Source organism: Homo sapiens, chromosome 13 (genome assembly GCF_000001405.40).
Source record: "Homo sapiens chromosome 13, GRCh38.p14 Primary Assembly".
NCBI lineage: Eukaryota > Metazoa > Chordata > Mammalia > Primates > Hominidae > Homo > Homo sapiens.
In genome coordinates this window covers 22,073,783-22,092,719 of record NC_000013.11, presented here as the reverse complement: position 1 = coordinate 22,092,719, position 18,937 = coordinate 22,073,783, and the positions used below count along the sequence as shown (strand labels likewise).

General features: G+C 41.3%; 1 long non-coding RNA gene across 3 annotated transcripts in view, besides 1 other annotated feature; it reads right to left on the bottom strand.

The window, feature by feature from the left end:
• LOC105370108 (uncharacterized) overlaps nt 1-18,937 on the bottom strand; it is a 114,586-nt gene that overhangs the window by 62,837 nt on the left and 32,812 nt on the right. For 2 of the 3 annotated variants that reach the window (XR_007063716.1, XR_007063715.1), the window contains one exon: nt 1-18,937. This exon is cut by the window's left edge and continues 22,769 nt beyond it. This is a non-coding gene — a long non-coding RNA (uncharacterized LOC105370108). The other variant, XR_001749777.2, reaches the window with a different exon arrangement.
• Nucleotides 11,426-11,977: an enhancer, noted in NCBI's record as "NANOG hESC enhancer chr13:22654882-22655433 (GRCh37/hg19 assembly coordinates)". NCBI's record gives its function as "activates a minimal SCP1, AML or CMV promoter by ChIP-STARR-seq in primed H9 embryonic stem cells {active_cell/tissue: H9 hESC(primed)}" and the evidence as "EXISTENCE:reporter gene assay evidence [ECO:0000049][PMID:30033119]".

The window sequence follows — 18,937 nt, the reverse complement described above, 5'->3', positions numbered from 1 at the left end:
AGCACTGTACTCAAAAAGGAACTTTGAATTGACCTGATAGATGCACCTGGCTTTTCCTGCACCTTGCAGAGCATCTGCTATGTTTCTACTCCATGTTACAAATAAGGGAAACCACACATATCCACAGGTGGACAGTGTTAGCTCTGGGTTCCAGTTCCACACCAGGTTAAACAAATTTCTACCAAAATAACAGGATAAAATCCAGTCTTGGGAAATGTTTATTAAAAAGTAAAAATGGTTGGTATATTTTAATCAAGGTAATTACTTAATTAGAACCTGTTTTACTAAGCTGACTTGTATGTGGACAGACCTCTCAATTAGGGTGGGCCTGCTGCTTCCTGGGATAACTTAAAGTAAATAATAACAAATATAATCATAGGATGTGAGGAGGGTTCCCTTGGTTCTGCTGGAGAAGCTGAGAGGCAGACTGTAACGCGCATTAGACCAAGACTGAGGCATGGGAACCCACTCTGGGAAATCAACAGCAAATCTACCCCGCTACCCCCAACAAGAAAAATTTAGAGCCTTTCCTCTAACCCTGCCCTCACTCATTCTACAAGTTTCTCCCAGTTGACAATGGCTCTGCCCTGAGGACATCTCTGGAAGGGGCGTGACTTTCCAAGGTCTTTATTGAAAGTGCCACCTGGAAGAAGTGATTACCTAACAATTTGCCAAAAGGGAGGGCTGCAGAAACCTCGGCATTTTTGAATTGCAACTGTTTTCTGTCATCGTAAAGAAAAAGTTAATCATTTTTTCCAGCAAACCACCGCCCCCTCTGTCTCCTGCACAGACTATTACGAAATTGCTGAAGACCACACACTTGGCTTTCGCTGTTTTCACAGTTTTTAAAGCCATCATCAAAAGGCAAAAGGAGCCCAGGATGAGGATTTCTTTCCAGCACAGCATCTGAAGTGGAATTCCATCGGTAGAATGCTATTTTCTTCTGGCTACTTTCCATAAGTTCCATCTTCTTATTAAGTGTTTATCATCTCGCATGAAGAAAAAGGAGACAAAAAAATCTCAAACCGTGTCCAGTTGGGAAAGAGCCATCCAGCCTTAGAGTCATGCTATCGAATATTCTGGAAATAAATTTTAAAGACCAAAAAATTCAGCTCATAATATAAAAGTTCAAATTTATGATAGCATTTATCTCCATGTTAATAAGGAATTTGCAAACAAAGATGATTATCCAGGTCTTTGAAGATGTACATCATGAATCAATCCAGCTACATATTAGTGATACAAGGCAGTTGGTTTCAGCAGAGTTGGCCCAACGTAAGATGTTTCTTTTTTATGTGAAATTATGTTGAGAGACTTTTGAAATGCACGCCATCTGAGTCACAGGCACTGGCTTCGAGGCAGGAATTTTACACAAACATTTTTTAGTGGCAGATCAATGATGTAAAGTTTGTTTTTGAAGGAGAATAAAATAAATGTCTCACTTCTAAAACCAACCTGACCCATGGGGCAGGAAAGAAAATGTCACTGGGCCCAAAATTTAGAAAAGTAATTAGAGCTGCCCATCAGTTCATAGCACATGGCCCTAGTTCTGGGTCGTGTCCCCTGTGCTGTGCTATGCTGCTGAACAGAGACCTTCCCTCTACCTACCTGCCCAACGCCACACCCTCTCTCCAAACAGGCATCCCAGTTCTCCCAGGTCTCCAGTGCTGCTTCCATCCTCCCTGTCATCCTACCACAGGACTGCTCTCCACCGTAGGCTCACCTTCTCTCTGGCCACCCACATGGCAGCATACAATTCAGGCCTCCGTCACAGACACACACTGGTGGATCAACGCAGATAAGATATTCTTGGAGTTTCTGTTTATCTTCCCAGTTATATTTTTAACAGCTCAGAAAAATTACACCTATTGTAGAGAACAGTATCCTTAGTACCTTGGGTTGCTTATGACAGAGTGTACCTTTGCTTAGCCCATGCCTACTACATGAATTTCCATCCTGCGTCTGACTTTCCTAACCTAAATCATGCTTCCAGATTTAATTTAAGCATTTTCTTTTTTATGAAGCCACCTGTTCTTCTCCTGCTCACTTGGTGTAATTCTTCACTTCTGTTTCTACTCCACCTAGTACCTGTTGCCACAACTCAATATGTATTTTCTACTTGGATATTTGTTTTTGTTTTGTTTTTTGAGACAGGGTCTCACTGTCCCCGAGGCTGGAGTGCAGTGGTGAGGTCATGGCTCACTGCAACTCCTGCCTCCCGGGCTCAAGCAATCTTCCCACCTCAGCCTCTCAAATAGCTGGGACTACAGGTGTGGTCCACCATGCCTAGCTGGTTCTTGTAGAGATGGGGTTTTGCCAGATTGCTCAGGCTGGTCTCAAACTCCTGGGCTCAAGCAATCTTCCTACCTCAGCCTCCCAGAGTGCTGGGATTGTAGGCATAAACCATGGCACCCCACCCACGTTTTTTATTACTTTTGAATTGTTTCATGGGTGTACTTTGGTCTCCCTTGTAGACAGCTCGGGCAATCTGAAGAGAGGCTTATTCATCTATGACATTCCCCATCAGGCTTGGCTGCAAAGCTTCATTCAATAAGTAGTAACGGATGGGTGGAAATACACCCATCAAACTTTGGGGGAGATTATAGCTGTAATAGTAATATATTCATACAAATAACCGCCAAAGCATTGTCTCAACTAATATTGAATTGTTCCATTTTGAGACATATTGCTCTCATCTTGAATCATTTGTTTTACATGGGGGAAACAGGATGAGTTGGCAAAAGGAAAAAGACTGAAAAAATGTCTGAGGCTAACATGCCCTGTTTGGTAAAAAGGAACTGTCTCTAAATATTGCAGTGTATTGGAATTGCCAGAGTAGTTTATTAATAAAAAGCCTTAAAAACTCATCCCAAAACCACTTAAAAGATATTTTCAAAGGTAGGATCAGGAACCGATCACTATTTTAACAAGCTCCCTCAAGGGTCTGGGCAGCCAGCTTGGTGCAAGCCACTGGGTGGGCATTTGAAAAGCCCTCCCATACACACTGGGTTCAAATCCTGACCCTGAAGCTTAGAAGCCATGTAACATAGGATAAGTTGTTTTAACTTTCTGATCCTCATTTACTCATCTGTGAAAGTGGGAGAATTAAATCCACTAGCAGTGGGAAGACCCTGCTCTGATGACCCCATATGGTGTTGCTCTATCTTCTGGGCCTGTAAACATAGGGCTGTTCCTCCGTGACAGCGAAGGCCAGTCATCTCCTGGGAAGAGAAGAAGCTGAAAGCAGAAGCTGACTCTTCCAGGGTGGTTTTAGGCTGGAAATTGATCTCAAACTCCCTCTTGGGCCTCAACTTCTCCCAATCTAGATGTGTTCTGGAGTACTTCTGGGTAGGGGGTAGGAGAGATGAGATGGCCTCTGCCATAAGGAGCTCAGAGCTCATCATAAGATTCCTTGCAGGGAACCCTATGAGGTGGGTTTTTGCTTGAGGGTTTGAGAAGAATCATACCTAATGGCAAGTTGTATATTACTCATTATACAAATTACTCTTTCTATTATCCTGAATATTTAGCAAAACCTTGTTAACTGTTAAAACCTGGTTTGAGCTGCATATTAGAAAATTGTCTATGCCTAGATTAACATAGTAAAGGGGAGGCCAGAATAATGGCTAATGTTAGTGGCCCCCTGTGGGGAAGGTAGGTCACAGGAGAAAATGATTGAAATTATGAGTTTTAGACTACACAGTGAGTCTTTTCTTATGCCAATAAAGTAAGTTGGCATCTTTTTATACAGCAACCTGTATTTGTTAAAAATGCCTACTGACTAACCTTAATAATACCTGAGCCCATTGGTACTGATTAAGAATATATGGTGAGCTGCTGTAACAAAGATACCCCAAAACATTACAGAGTGGTTTAAACAAGACAGTAAAAACCCAGATGTCAGCACTGCAAGGGAGAGAGTGCCCTGGTTGTCAGGAAACAGTAGGAAGAGTCTAGGTCCTTAATATCATCACTCTTGCCTGAGTCCAAGTCTTTACCCACCATCTGTCAATGGATTATTGCAGTAGGCCACACAGGAACACTCAGTCTACTTCAGTCGTATCTCTCTGCATATTCCCAGGCTTCTATTCTGGCCAAACATGGGCTCTACCTACCCCACTGAAGCCCACAGAAAGAGGAAGATGAGGAGGAGAAACCATGCTCCTTTTATTGGGAATTTGCCCATGTCACATCTACTCACACTCCATGGGCCAGAACAGTGGCCACAGCTCAGTATAAAAAAGGCTAGAAAACATCCTTTTTAACTGGGGTCTAGAACTTCTAGTACTAGAGCTGAAAAGGAGGCCAGATACTGGAAGTCAATTAACTGTTTTTGCTACACCACCACATAGAAACTGATGCATAAAATATCTTCCATTCTCCTTTCCAGGGCCTCTGTGCTGTCTACTGTGGAACCAGGTATACAATGGGTGTCCCATTCAGAAGTGGCTGAGTTCTTAGGGTGAGTTTAAGAGTGAGCCTTTAAGGTCCTACCTCAATCACTGATTTCTTCTTTAAATGTAAAGTAACTTGATTAACTAGGGACATGCCTCCTTTCAAGTGTTTATATGTTTATCACCAGAAGTGCTATATATCAGATTAGGCTAGGAAGTAAGAACATGGATCATATTCATTCCCTGCCCTTGGGGAGTTTGCTTTAGTGAAAGGGACAGCCCCAGGAAGAAGACAGCAAGGGCTAAACTCACAGCATGAATGGAGTGAGGTGAGAGGGAAGAAAGAGCAGGCTTCATGAAGAAGGAGAGAGGAGCTTTCCTATTAGTGGAAGAAAGGGTGGGCCTGGGTCAGGAGGCCAAGAGTGGAGGAACAGTGAGATGAGGTGTGCCTGAGGTAGAGGCTGGGGGAGGAGTGGCAAGAGAAGGGAGTGAGATCCCAGCCACTAGGTATGGGCCCAAGGAGGCCTTCTATGCCCACTCAGGAGCTGAAACATTTTCTTCTGGGCAGTACAGGCTCAGCGTGGGGCATCAGCAAAGCAAAGTCCACGTTTCAGAAGGATCACTATGGCAACAGTGTGAGGCTGGTGGATTCGGGGAGAAGCTACAGTGAGATTAGGTTGGAGGTTCTTGCAGTTGTTGCAATAATCCAGTGAAGAGATGATGGATAAAGCCTTGAACCAAGGTGGAGGTGCTAATCACACAGAAGGAGGAGGCTGGAGACCCCACATATACAGGACCGGTGGGATGTGTGAGGAGCAAAAGCGGGAGGTGCACAGGACGGAGGGGAGTTCACCAGCTCGAGGCACTGAGCAGGGAGGGAGGCTGTCAGCGGAAGAGGAGAGGTGGATCCTGCTACCTTCTTCCATTAGCGGCAGCAGGGGGTCCCACCCTGCTCCAAGTTCACAGGATTCACAGGAAGTGAAAGATGCCTCTAGTCTTTGTAACCAGTTTCAGAAAATTATTCCTCAACCTTTTTTAGCCTCACATAAAAACCCTTCCTTTGAGACACTTTGTCCAGCTGTTTCCCCTTCTCGGCCTTCTTCCTGCTGCCCCATCTCCATCCCCGCAGTTGTTCCATTGAAGATATTCCACTTGGGTCATGACCTCCCTCTCCGAATCCACTTGGACAATCCAGACAGCATTCCAGATTCTTGCACTTTTTTATACCTTTGCAATTTCACTGACCGCCTCGGCTTCACTCAAGGGGAAAGGACTTTCTGTCTATAGCCTCACATCGGCCCACTCACATAGGGAGCCAATCAGCTGCACAGTTGTGAGAGATCGTAACATTAAAACGGTTTCTAAGTTAAAACAACTATTTCCAGCACTGAGGAAGGGCGAAATCCTCCTATCAACCCCATAAAAAAGACATGAATTGAGAAATGAACCAGATTCTTAGTATTTGTGCAACAAACACCAAAAAGTTTCATCAGTCTTTCTCCTAAGCTGCTCTGAGCATGTGCCAAGGGCTCCACTCCAAAGCAGAATTCCATACAATCAACTTGGCAGGAGACAAAGTAATGCAGCTCTCCTACCACCACCACTCCCCGCCAAAAAAAGAGTTCTTTGGTCAAATATTTGGAAAATAGTGGGCTCCACTTTTTATAAATATCCCATAATGCAATTTGGGAAAAAGTGGTTTAGAAGATCTAGCCTAGTGTAAATATCCTCAGGAGAATGAAAGGATATTCTATGCCCTCCTCCAGGCTCATCATTTGTCTCAACCAAACTCTAGATATGTATGTCTTGATCAGGACATTTGGGTTTTGTTCACTGATACGCTTCTGGATCACATGGATCTCATGTTGTTGGTCATAACAGGATGAAACTGCTCTCAACTGAAAGCAACATCTTAAGGTGGCAGCTGTGACTGCCGCCTTTCTGTCCATTGAGGAGCCTGGCAAAGACACCCATCTGAGCTGTATGCCAGCCTCTTCTGCTGTGGAGCTGAATCTCTAGTAGAGAGTTCAGGAAGTGGGACCACAATTCTTCTCCATGTGCAGTTAGAGCACATTTCAGCGCCTGGTAAAAGGAGCACTCAACCTCCCCTGCCCACCCACCTACCCAGGCTCTCCTCCACAGAAGGTGGCTGCAATAGTTTTAGTCTGAAAAACTAAATAAGGTGTTCTCCTTAGCTTACAAAGAAAATCTCAGTCAAGTGACAACAGCATATTTAATGCTGCTCTCTACTACAAAAGAAACTGATCATAAATAAAATGATAATGAATAAACTGATTGCCTATGAAACTGACTTAATTTGCTATATGGAGTCACTGACCCTAACTCAGTGGAATGTTGAGGGCTTCTGACAAAAATAATGACTTTACTTGTTTAATGGTTGATTTGTAGCCCTTTTTGAGAGTTAGTAATTAATTAGTTAACAGTATTGTTCATTATGGTTATTAACATTTAATCACAATGCACTTCAGCTACTCTCTAGAGCCTTTCAAAGCCATTTCCTGACGTTCACATGGACACAAACAAGTTGATCTGGCTGGAAGGGAGAAGCACACAGACACAGAGCAAAGGCAGTATTCCGACTGCAGCAGTAAATGAATAAAACTAGTAAAGGTTTCACTAAACACAGCTAAGGACACCGCCAATCTATAACAGGTGAAACGCACTCGCACACACACCCCCAGAAGTCTCCAGTGGTAAGTCAGACACCTAGTTGCTCTGTTTGGGGCTGGGATTGTATCTACTCAAGACAATAATTCACTGTTTCCTCTTTCTCTCCTTCCTTGCTATACTTCTTTGTCCTTCTTTTCTTTCTGTCCTTCCTTCTTTTCTTCCTTTTCTTTTTTGCCTTCCTTCCCTTCCTTTCCTTCTTTTTTTCCTTCCTCTGTCCTTCCCCGCCTCCCTCCATGATGCTCAGAGAGCATCTATATAATGTATTAGCTGCTGTGCTCAGCACTAAGGAGAAAAATAAGACATTATTTCTGCCCTCAAGGAGCCAGCAGTCTAATAGTGAGCCGAAATGCTCAATAACTGATACTAGCTGTTTATGCCTTTGATGTTAAAAAGGGAAAACTAAACAAGCAAATTAACTGTTACTTAATACACTCCATTTGGGAGGCAAAAATCCTTCTGATCTAGAATAAATAGAGCAAAAACTAACAAAAGTGAACTTTATTGGTGAAAATGCTGGAAACTCGTGATTCTTATGAAATCAAATACATACACACTAAGCATCCATTCAGTTGTTTTTTATTTAAATTTCTGTACAAGTCAAAATAGCCTATTAATGAGAAAAATAGAATTCAAGTTATTTGTGCTGTTAAAAATGTGTGCAGATAATACACATTTTTCTAAATAGGCTCTATTATTAGTGAGATATACTTTAACTTATAAATAATAAAATGTGCCCTTAAATATTCAAAAAACAAGAAAATGTTTACTATTTGGTGAGCATCCAAAATTGTTTCTCCATAAGCTTTAGTTTCACCAATCTTTCCAGGAGAGATTGTAGGAAATCTCTCTGATCAGCTGGAGAGGAGACCCCCCAGGTAGGCTGCTCAGAGCCTCTGTGCTCGTCATTCAGAGGCAGGATCGGAAAGTGCCTTCTCCCGGTCATCTTCTGTGAGCTGAGCTCACCCAGGGAAAATGCATCCAAGTGAATCATAGAAAAGAAGGTGAACACCTGTGTTTGGTGGCATTTAGGGTCTCCATTAGGGGAGAAACCACATCTAGGTTCATGACAGAGTTCAGCACATCACTGCAGCTCAGAAGCTGTTATAAATGCTTTTAAATCATCCTCACTTCATTTGCAATGGAAGAGGCACATCTCTCTAACAAGCGAGCCACTTAGTGAAACCACATGGGACAGAGAGCAAGAAGAACATCCTGTTTGACCAAAATTGCAGGAATAATTTAAAAAGTCACAAAGTCATTACCCTACTTGGATTCTGATCAGGAAACCAGGATTAACACCCTGAAGCCTTTAGGTAAAGTGCCAAGAGCTCTTTAATGACCTAATGGCTTAGGGTGTTAGGGAACTGATTAACAGAGGAGCTAAGCAACCTTAGAACATCCTTTGGGATAAAAGCTACACATAAATTACTGTCACTACTTGCGAATAACTGTGTGAATAATTTTGATAGTTAATTTCTTAACTGTTTATATAGAGTCCACTTTGAAGAAAATATGAACACATCATCATAAATTTAATAGTTAAGTAAAATTTAAACTCAAAAGAAAATAAATGTAGGAAAACACATTTCCTTCAGTTCAGTTTAGCTCTTAGTTGAATTTCACCTGACAGTTAAAAAAAAATAAAAGTAGCCGGGCGTGGTGGCTCACGCCTGTAATTCCAGCACTTTGGGAGGCTGAGGTGGGTGGATCACGAGGCCAGGAGATCGAGACCATCCTGACTAACACGGTGAAACCCCATCTCTACTAAAAATACAAAAAATTAGCCAGGCGTCGTGGCGGGCGCCTGTAGTCCCAGCTACTCGGGAGGCTGAGGCAGGAGAATGGCATGAACCCGGGAGGCAGAGCTTGCAGTGAGCCGAGATCACACCACTGCACCCCAGCCTGGGTGACAGAGCGAGACTTGGTCTCAAAAATAAGAAAAAATAAAAATAAAAGTACCAATGACAAATAGCACCCTGGGAAATGTTAATTGGCACTCAGTGTGTAGACTAGAAAGAGGTATGGATACATATTCAAGAACTGTATGAGGCTGTGTGGCTTTCCATGCACTAATACTCTGAACATCTCTAAAGCTGAATTTACTTGGGATTTCTTTAAAGTTGGGCAAGAAACCACATGAGAACAGACATGCTATGACAACCTGAATTATTGATCCCTCTATTCATTTCCCTCCCATAAGATGTCACACATCCTGCCTGCTGGCGTGTAGCTGGCAGTGCCTCCCTGTCGGCAAAATACAACTCCCCATGCCATTGTACAGCCTGGCCGTGTGGCTTTATCAGACTGAGGGAGTGGGAGTAAAGGGAGATTGTGTGCCGAGGTACTGCATGTTTCTCCCAGATTTCTTACATTTGTCTTTTTCTACCAGCATGGCTTTTCCCCAGTAAATATTGTGTCTTTAGCCTAGGCAAGGATGAGAAGATGCTTAGTGCAGAGCCAACAGACCCAAGCGGAACTGTGGCTCCTACCATCAACTGCAGTCACCAACATGAAATGGCAAGCAATGAACACTCTTGGAAACCACAGAGACTTGGGGGTTGTTTGTTACCATGGAGAAGCTGCCCAGTACATTTTGTTCCCTGATATGAGATCAATGAAAATAATTTCATAGAAAAGCATTGTTCAATTAAAAATTGATGACAAAGACCTGGTGAGAAGATGCATGCTGCTTCCTCTACATACATGTCTCCATATTATCTGATGTATTCATTGCTGTACAATAAAACGGTTTCCCCAGTAGCTTGTGGTCATAGCACACAGAAGAGTGATAAAAATCAAGTTTCTATTCTGTGCTTTCACATTTCTCCTATAGTTGTTTTCCAACCTCCTCCCAGGACAATCTTCCTCCAAATAATCCAGGCCCTTCAAAGTGTCCTGGAACCCTTGTTACACAATCCTATATAGACTACAATCAACATCCTCACTTCCTGTGTTCTACATCCTGCACCCATGCGACAAGGCACAGGAAATGCAGGATTCTAAGACAGTCCTCAACTACCATGGCAATACTACAAAACAAAGGCAGAGTTAAGAGGGAGTTACTTTTATTGGAGTGACAAAGATCTCTGGCTCCCCTACAATCAGACTCAAGACCACAGAGATTATTGGCCTGTCTTAAACATAAATAAGCCTGTCTGAAAGATTCAAGATGCTGGGGCAATTCCATAGATATGAGAACGATAAAATGAACCCAAAAGTCAGAGGCACCCAATAGCCAGGTGGAAAGCTCCTCTGGTCCTTTGAAGAAGGTGGTAGGGGAAGAACAGGAATGAGGACATTCTTCCCTTCCTCTATTCATATAAACATTAGCAATGGTTTTCCGAACAAAGAAGAGCAGCTGCTTTCCAGCCAGTGGATCAAAGTGTGAGCAGGTGACGATGCCTGCTCTCTAAGAGAAGCCTATCAGGCACCAAAGTGCAAAGGTGACAATTAGAATGGACAAGGTGAGTAGGTGTTGAAATATCCACACAATATTTCCAAAAGTTCAGAGATTACTGTAGATTATGTCCTGGAGCTGGGAAAATGTTTGAGTTGGGAGGGTTTTCATTTTTGCCTGAAGTGATTCTCCAAGTTTAAATGTATACCTTTATAACTATGACATTTCTGTAAAACAAAAGATCTCATTGTTCCTCCTTTCATTGGTGAACTCTTATTCAATTCACATAACACACTAGAGTTCTTTCATTTTTCTTTGGTTTCCAGCACAAAACTCTGTGACATCTTCCTAACTGACAGCCAAATGTTTATAAGCCTACCTATCCAAGACAGGTACTTTTTATTTGAAATGCCATTGATAGATTTAATTATGTTCAACTTTCTCAAAAAAACAATCCCACTGGCGCAGTGAAATATATTGAGTTTGATGTGTTTGGCTGCAAAAACTTTCATTTGGCCAAGGCTACATAGTCTGAAGGCTCCAAGTGTAAATTATAATGTTATTTGAGATGAAGTATAGAGTCATTTGTGGTGCTCGGGCACGACACATGACGTAATCTTACACTCTATCTGCAGGTGTGATATTGGATTCTGCTAGGACAGGCACCTGGTATCAATGTTCAGTCTGGCATTGTTTCAACACAGTCTACCGTGGATGAAGATGACTAAAATAAAATAGCACCCAGCTACAGCAGGGTCGTTTTTTTTTCTTTTTTTTTTTTAAAAGGAGGACTGATAAGCAACAATTACCAATGAGTTAAATGGTATCTGATTACTCTCTTTCCCGGAGCAGCACAAAATTCTTGCTCTTTACAGTAATAGTCTCAGGGCTATAAGAAGACAGAAGTAAAATAATGTATTATGAATAACCAATATAATAATGCATATGCATGGATTATTAATATGTAAACATATTATAACTAATAATAAATACACATGAAAAGAATGCAGATATTGATGGCTTCTTTTTCAAACACAGTTGATGGACGTATACTGAGCCATGCATTTTCTCCTTATGACATTCATCACACTAGTAGTTACTTATGGAATGCCTGTCTCTACCTCTAGTCTCTAAGCCAAGCGAGGGGAGGGACCTAACAGACTGCCTGGCACCTAAGAGTGGCTCAATACATCTGCTCAGTGAATGACTGTGTTCTCATGTTCTTTCTCATGGCCTGATCTTTGCAGAGGCATTCACTTACAAATTAGGCAGCTGCCTGGTTGGGGGTTTAAAGGTATGGCCTCTAATCATGGAGTAGAGAAAACCAGCTACCCTATTTGAAAACAGTACCTATGATCTTAACATCATTGAGATGTCTGTGAGATGCTCTAGCATCCTCAAAATGCACTGCCATGGCCAGATGTATCAGCAGCTGAAAAGATAATCTTTTGGGTATTTTGGGAGGAGATAGGGAAATATGATTTTCCAAAGTGATCTCTAGTAACCTAAGCACCTTGAAATTTTTAGATATTACAAACATTTATAGAATTTATCTTTTTAAAGTTAATGGGAATTCAAATTAAAGGGTTTGATGGACCTTAATCCAGGCATAGGATGGATGGATCAGCATGATACATTTGATGGGCAGTTATGTGAGAGATCAGTTAAGGTGTGAGAACTGAAAGAACATGGTAGAATCTCAAGCCGAATTTTGAACCATTCTAGGAAAATGAAAACTATTCATTTATTGATTTTATCCCCTCCCTAAGGGGAAGAATATGATTTCATTAGTTTAAAATTCAAAGAAAGATCCCAAAATGATTCTGTAGTCATAATCTCATTTGATCCCCATAACACCCCCCAAAAGGCAGGCAGGGGTCTCGAGTCACCTTCCCTCTGCCTGGGTGGGTAATTGGCTTGGCCTTGGTGTCCCGTTTCTCCCTCCACATCAGGCTGTCTCTCCTAAATGTTCAGACTCACTCAACTTGCCGCCTTGTCCTACTCAACCAGAGCGTTCACATTTAGAAGCGACGTGGCTGGCAATTGGAGCCTTTGCACTCCCACGTGGCTCTTCTTGTTTCCCTCGTGTGCTGGATGGCTCAATCTTGCAAAACGTGAACTCCAAGGAAGTTAATTCTTTCCACAGGCCCCACCACATTTGACAATCGAAGCTGGCATCTCACCCTCTCTCCTGTTTATGTGCCAGTGGCAAACAGAGGTCTTCCGTTAGAACAGACTATTTTGGTGCATAGCAGTCTACTAGGGCCAGTTCTCAATCAGGCAACCCGACAAGCAGAGAGCGGCCTAACACCACTGCAGTCAATCAGGGCTTCCTTGGCAGGATTTTTCTGAAGTGCTGGTGCATATCACATAACATCTCAAAGCATTTTTTTTAAAGAAGTCAGGGAAATGTTCCTGCCTGTGTTTGAATTCGCACCCTGTTGTTTAGCAAATCCAAACCTAAAAAAGGTTTCAACAACTTTTGAGAAATAATCTCGAAGTCTTTTTACACATGTACATTGAGGGGTTTTTCTCCTCTTTTTAATTTGCCTGGAGGAATAAAAATGGTATCACCCATTGAAAAAAAATACTTATTCATCCATGCATTCATTCATCACAGTCAAAACTATGTAATTCAATAGTATACTTCCATATAATGCAAAACTATTGAAAGTTAGAGGGAAGACAAGACAGAAAGGGAGAGAGGAATTTCCATTCTCTCTTCTAAAGTTCTTAAAGAGATACATGAAAGTCCCAAGATGAAGATATGCTTTTGTGGACGTCCATAGGGCCAAGCTAGGACTGTTGATTCTAAAACCATTAGAAGAGAGAGAAAGGGTAAGGAAGTTTGTGAAGAAATGGCAAGAGGCCACTTAACAGGTTTAGTCAACCCTCCTGATGAGGCCAGCCATTTCCCGAAAGGTTCAAGAGACACGGTCAAAGTAAGAGGCAGGTGAGAGCCACAAACGAAGACCAGAAAGGTTTTAGAAAATATAAATTTTCAAAAAATGCAAAATGACACACACAAGACTGGAATATCGAGTACGGTTGTGCTTGGCATCTGCAGGGCACTGGTTTCAGGAGCTCTGAGGCCAAGCTTGCTAAGTTTTCTGTCCCTGGAAGCAATTGAGCCAACTCAATGCTACCTTTCATGATGGATCAGGAGATTCTGAAAGTGAGTACAAGGTTGGATCTGATGACTTTTGTGGACCTTGCCAACTCTACAGAATGTGTGACTCTAAACTACAGGATAAATGAATCTCGACTACTACTTTCTTCCAAATCCATGAGAACAGAGTGTTTCAGAACAGAATAAATGTCACTGGGAGTAATTCTTCCTGATGCTGGATTCAAAGGTCTTCCTGTCCTTCCATACCACCACCACAAATTCATCCTGCCATAGACTCACAGAATCTTAGAGTCAGAGAAACCATTTTAAATTATTCATCCACATTTCCACCCAAAGGGAAAATCTCCCTGGCATCAGTGTGAGCCAAATGTCAATCAGCTTCTGCTGGGAATCATTTAGACCAGGAACACAGGCCTCATGAGGCAGCCACATTCTTTCTAGAATGTTCCCATTCATTAGAAAAGCCATCCATACATGCAACTAAATGTATCTTCCTGTGCAACTCACCTACTGCTCCCAGATTTTGCTTGCTTTTATTTTAGTAGCTTTCCAACTCCAATTCTTGTTTAATTTGAAGTCCAGCTGGGCCTCAGGGCAATACTTTGCTACCATGCTCTTATTAGTTCACTCTCTGAAGGTGAGAGCTCTGAGGAGGAGGAGATTTGGCCATGCATGATGTATGTTATCATTACTATTAAGGACAAGAATAACTGCCATTTATCAGGTGCCTTGTCATGTATATGCATATTGCCAGTCCTCTCAACAATCTTTATAGTATGTATTATATCCATTTATAGTTGAAAAAAAAAAACAACACTCAGCACAGGTTAATGACTCACTTAAGGGCAAAAAGATAATAAGGAGTAAGCCAGGATCTGGAGCCCCACAGCATGCGTGCTTTCCATTAACCCTCCAGGTTGTTTGTTTTACCTGTCCAAGTGAACTGTATTTTTAGCCTATTTGGTTTGTCATCACCTTTTTTTTCCAATTTGTGGCAACGGCATTATCTTATAGCCTAGACTGCCTGAGAATCAATGACTTCTGACCAGTAAATACTCAGCAAAGGTAAATATAATGAATGAAACTATCAATTCCCAAACTATGTAAAGGGTACTTATTCTGGGTTGAGTCAAAGAATGAAATGAGTCAAACAAATGAAAGCACAAACTTCACAAGAGAATGCATATGTATTTACTTTGGAGAGTTGCAGCTTAGGAGACAGAGCATTACACTCTATAGACATTTAAGCATTGCAAATCTCACTAATATGTATGGTTCAGAAAAATTAAGAGAGATACCTGTGAACAACATCACCCCCCAAATACGTTCAGTAGTGCTTAAAATGTTTTATTAAAACTCAAAAAAAAGACGTGCAAAAAAAGTTGAATCAAATGACTGATGATGTTCAAAGTGTTGAAAGAAACATTTTTTCCTGAACTGTTATACAGTGCCACCCACGTGGGAAACTCAACAGACATATTAATTATACCTAGCATGTAATCCAAAAGATCCAGAGAATGTGCTTTATTTATTTTTTCTTTAGGGAATGGGAGGAGAGTAAAATAAGATGATAGCTGCAGATGATGTGGATATATGGGTGTGCTGTTTTCATCTGAAAAATCTTAAGTCACACTGATTCCTCCCAAAATTGTTATCTCCCTCTGTAAATAAACCCAAACCTAATTACTACACTGAGCTCTGATACAGATTCTATTGCTCAACCTGGGAAAGACTTCCAAAATGACCTACGTCTCTGAGGGTTTGGTTTTTGAGGTTCCCCCCCTCCACACACACACACACAAATTCACTCTTACACACTGATAATCACTTTTGTTTATCACTTTTTCCACCTCCTGCAAGGAGATGTGCGTCATTTCTGGACTTTTTCCAACCCCTGTTTATAAAAGCTTGAGCAATCTCAAAACACCTGGTTTGCTGAAAGAACTAAAGAGGGGCCAAAATGTGACTAAAGTGTAGACCACCTAAAAAAATCTGAAAACAGCGGAACCCTGAGCCAGATATCAGAGGCTGGTATTTCATTAGCACTGGCTTTATTTTGGTACATGCTTGTAAAATGAACTAAAAAGCTTTGAGGTATAATACCAAATCCCTTGAGGTGATGAACTTAGACTGAGCTATCCTGAGCCTTGATGTTGTGGTCTGTTGGTTTGTTTGCTTAGGTAGCGAATGCAGCAGCTGACTGCAATGCTCATTTGCAATCTGCAGACGCAGGTCCCTCCAGGAGGGAACTCAGCTCTAAAGAGGCCCCCATCTCTCTCTCTCACTCACTCTTACTCCTTTGGGCACACCCAACTTTCCATGCTTCCTAGATAAACCCACTCTTTCCCACCTCACTTCCCTGGTGCAAGCCATTCCCTCTGCCTGAAATACTCACCACCCCCTAACTCCTGATCTTAGCCCTGACTATAACTCTTACTTCAGAAATCAGAGTCAATAATTCTTCCTTAGTAATCCCTTCTCTGGCTCCCCCAACAAAATGTCCCTATATCCAACCTACAGGGCCATGTTCCTGTCCTGCTTGGGACTCAGCACACCTGTTTCTGTGTTTAATGGTGGCTTCTCTGTCCCAAGCTTCATGACAGCAGAGACCATGCCCAGCTGGCTCGCTGCTATGTCCCCCAAACTTAGTCGAGTGGGCAGCACAGACCATGCTCAATGAGTATTGGCTGACTGATTACCAAGCTCACTTATCTTTCAATCTCTTTATTTCAGGGTACGGACTAAGTCTCAGTCATCCTCACTGTTCCTGAACATCACACAATTTCCAACAAGTAGTATTTCATATGCATTTCTTGAAATAAATGAATAAAAGGGGTACATACTTCCAATTTATAACATGATATAAAAATAGATAATTATGTAAGGAGCTATGCACCTTTGTCCCTTAAAAAACAGTTGTGTTTTCAAACAAAATGCCCCAATAATAAATAACTCCATCCAGCAGTAAACTCACACTGTGCCCCATCCTCTGCTTTTTTCTTGAGGATTATCTGCCAAAAACAAAACAGTCAGCTCTAGCATGACAAGTTCTATCAGCCAAAGTTATCTGGGATTCTTTTAAGCCTGTGTGGTTTGTTTCGTTTTATTTTAACTAAACCCAAACTTAAAAAAAAAAAATCAAATTTGAATCTGGGAAGCTTTAAAAGATAAGGGCATTGTTGGATATTTTTATTCCCAAAACAAAATTTATTATAGGATTGTGTTCTGCTGATATATCCAGAGGCATTCAAACTAATATAGAATGTTGAAGAAAATAAATCTGGATGTAAAGATGAGAAATAGTCTAGATAGAATATTGTCTTTCAGCATCTAAATGTGAGCTTATGCCTGAGGAGTCTCCCTCTATAGGGAGAATAATCCAATCCAGTGAGGATGGGCAGCGGGGAGTGGGGAGGAGGGAAACGTCTCCTGGCCATATTGGGGTTTTTAAATGAATGAAATGCTGACAACTTGATCATAACCAGGTTGCTTTCTCACCATTACCACAATGAGTAAAATTTACTTAGTCAATACTCACAAGTGAGAGTTTTAAAAAATGTATTCAGTTTAAGCTGTTTGTTAAAACATATGACCTATATTGAAATGCTCAGATGTTAATGATAATAAAAATCAGAAATATTCTGGAAAGGATAAAGAACATTTTCCCAATCTGCTTGCAATTGTTTCTATCCTTTTTTTTTTTTTTCATTTAATCACCCTGTAAATCAGAAAATTAATGGCAACCTTATTTCACCTTGGATAAATGTACACACTTTCCCTAGTTAAGAAGCCCACCAGGTTTTAACTTGTTGAATACACACTGTAGCTGGTCTGCAAGGAAGACAAGCAAGCCAATAGTTTCTGTCTACATGTGGAAATTTTACAATATCTGGAGAAACCAGTGACACAACTAAGAATGCTAATATTTTTCTGTATTCAGTAAAAGCTCTGGAAGTCATGATGTAAAATCCTTCCCTATGCTTAAACTACGTACCTGCCCAGAGTTCATCAGCTATAAGAAAATAAGGCCATTCAAACATTTTACCAATTCATTACATGCTATCACTGCCACCTCACGAGCCAATAAAAATGCAGAATTCTCAATGTTTGTGGGGATGGCAATGCATCCCTGCTATGTGAGGAATCTCAGCCTGGTCTGGGATCTGCCAGGTAAAACTTTCCTGTTGGGCTGTGTTGAATTTTCTTCAAGAAACAAAACAAAAAAGTAGAGAAAAAATACAAAAATAAGAAGAAAAAAGAGAAAATACTAGTGCACAATAACGTGCATGGAAAGGCAGACTGACATGATTGTGCACCTTTGCCCAGGTCATCCCACCTCTGTGGGACTCAGTTTCTTCACCTGCAGAATCCTGCAAAGGCAATTCTTCATAATTCATTACCAAGATCACATAATTCTAAACTGTTGAGACACAGCCTCATTCCCATAAGATGAGCTCCTAAAGCCACCACCCTCAGATGGGTTTCTCTTTCAATTTGACCCATTGGTGGACTCAGTGGGATGAGTGGTACTTTAAGACTCACTTCTGACATTTTAGTGACAGTTATTTTCCAACTAATTTTACACCACTGCCTTCCTGTACATTCTTGAACTTCATTTTGGTGTCTCTTTGATGACCACATTTAAACTATAGTAAGGATAGGAATGAGAGAAAATGAATACAAAAAATTCCTTCTTTTTTCTCAATTACAGTATCTTTTTAATCATCCCAGGATATTGGCTAATATGGTGCTCAAATGGTATCCACTTAGTAAAACCAACTCTAGAAGAAAAAGTCAAAATATAATGAGGAATGGAAAGTAAACGGGCCATCCCATCTTCCCTACCTCATTTTCACAAATCTCAATCTCAGAAGGATAGAAAGTTTCCACACTCACCTCTACTAGAGGACATGCCAGCCCCCCATGGGAGGGGCAAGACCAGTCTTTGGACTTTGCTGTAAAATTAAGGTGGAAATTTCTGAAACTTCTATTATCCACTCAATATATACTATTGAAAGCTTATTATGTGTCACTATCTTGTACCTCTTAAAATTACTGAAATAAGGAAAGTGCATTTCATAAGACGTGTGCTTCTCTATAAACCAAATTGAAGACAGAGCAACGTGACCTCACATCTATCACTTTCTAGTTGTGTAAACTTTAATACTGAGGCTTAGTTTTCTTATTAGTAAAATGGCCACTAAATACCTGTTTCGCAGGATTGCTAGAAAATCAAAGTGACGTAAATGCTTCAGCAGTTCCCCTACCCACCTTTATCTGAGGTTTCACTTCCTGAGGTCTCAGTTACCCAGAGTCACCCGTGGT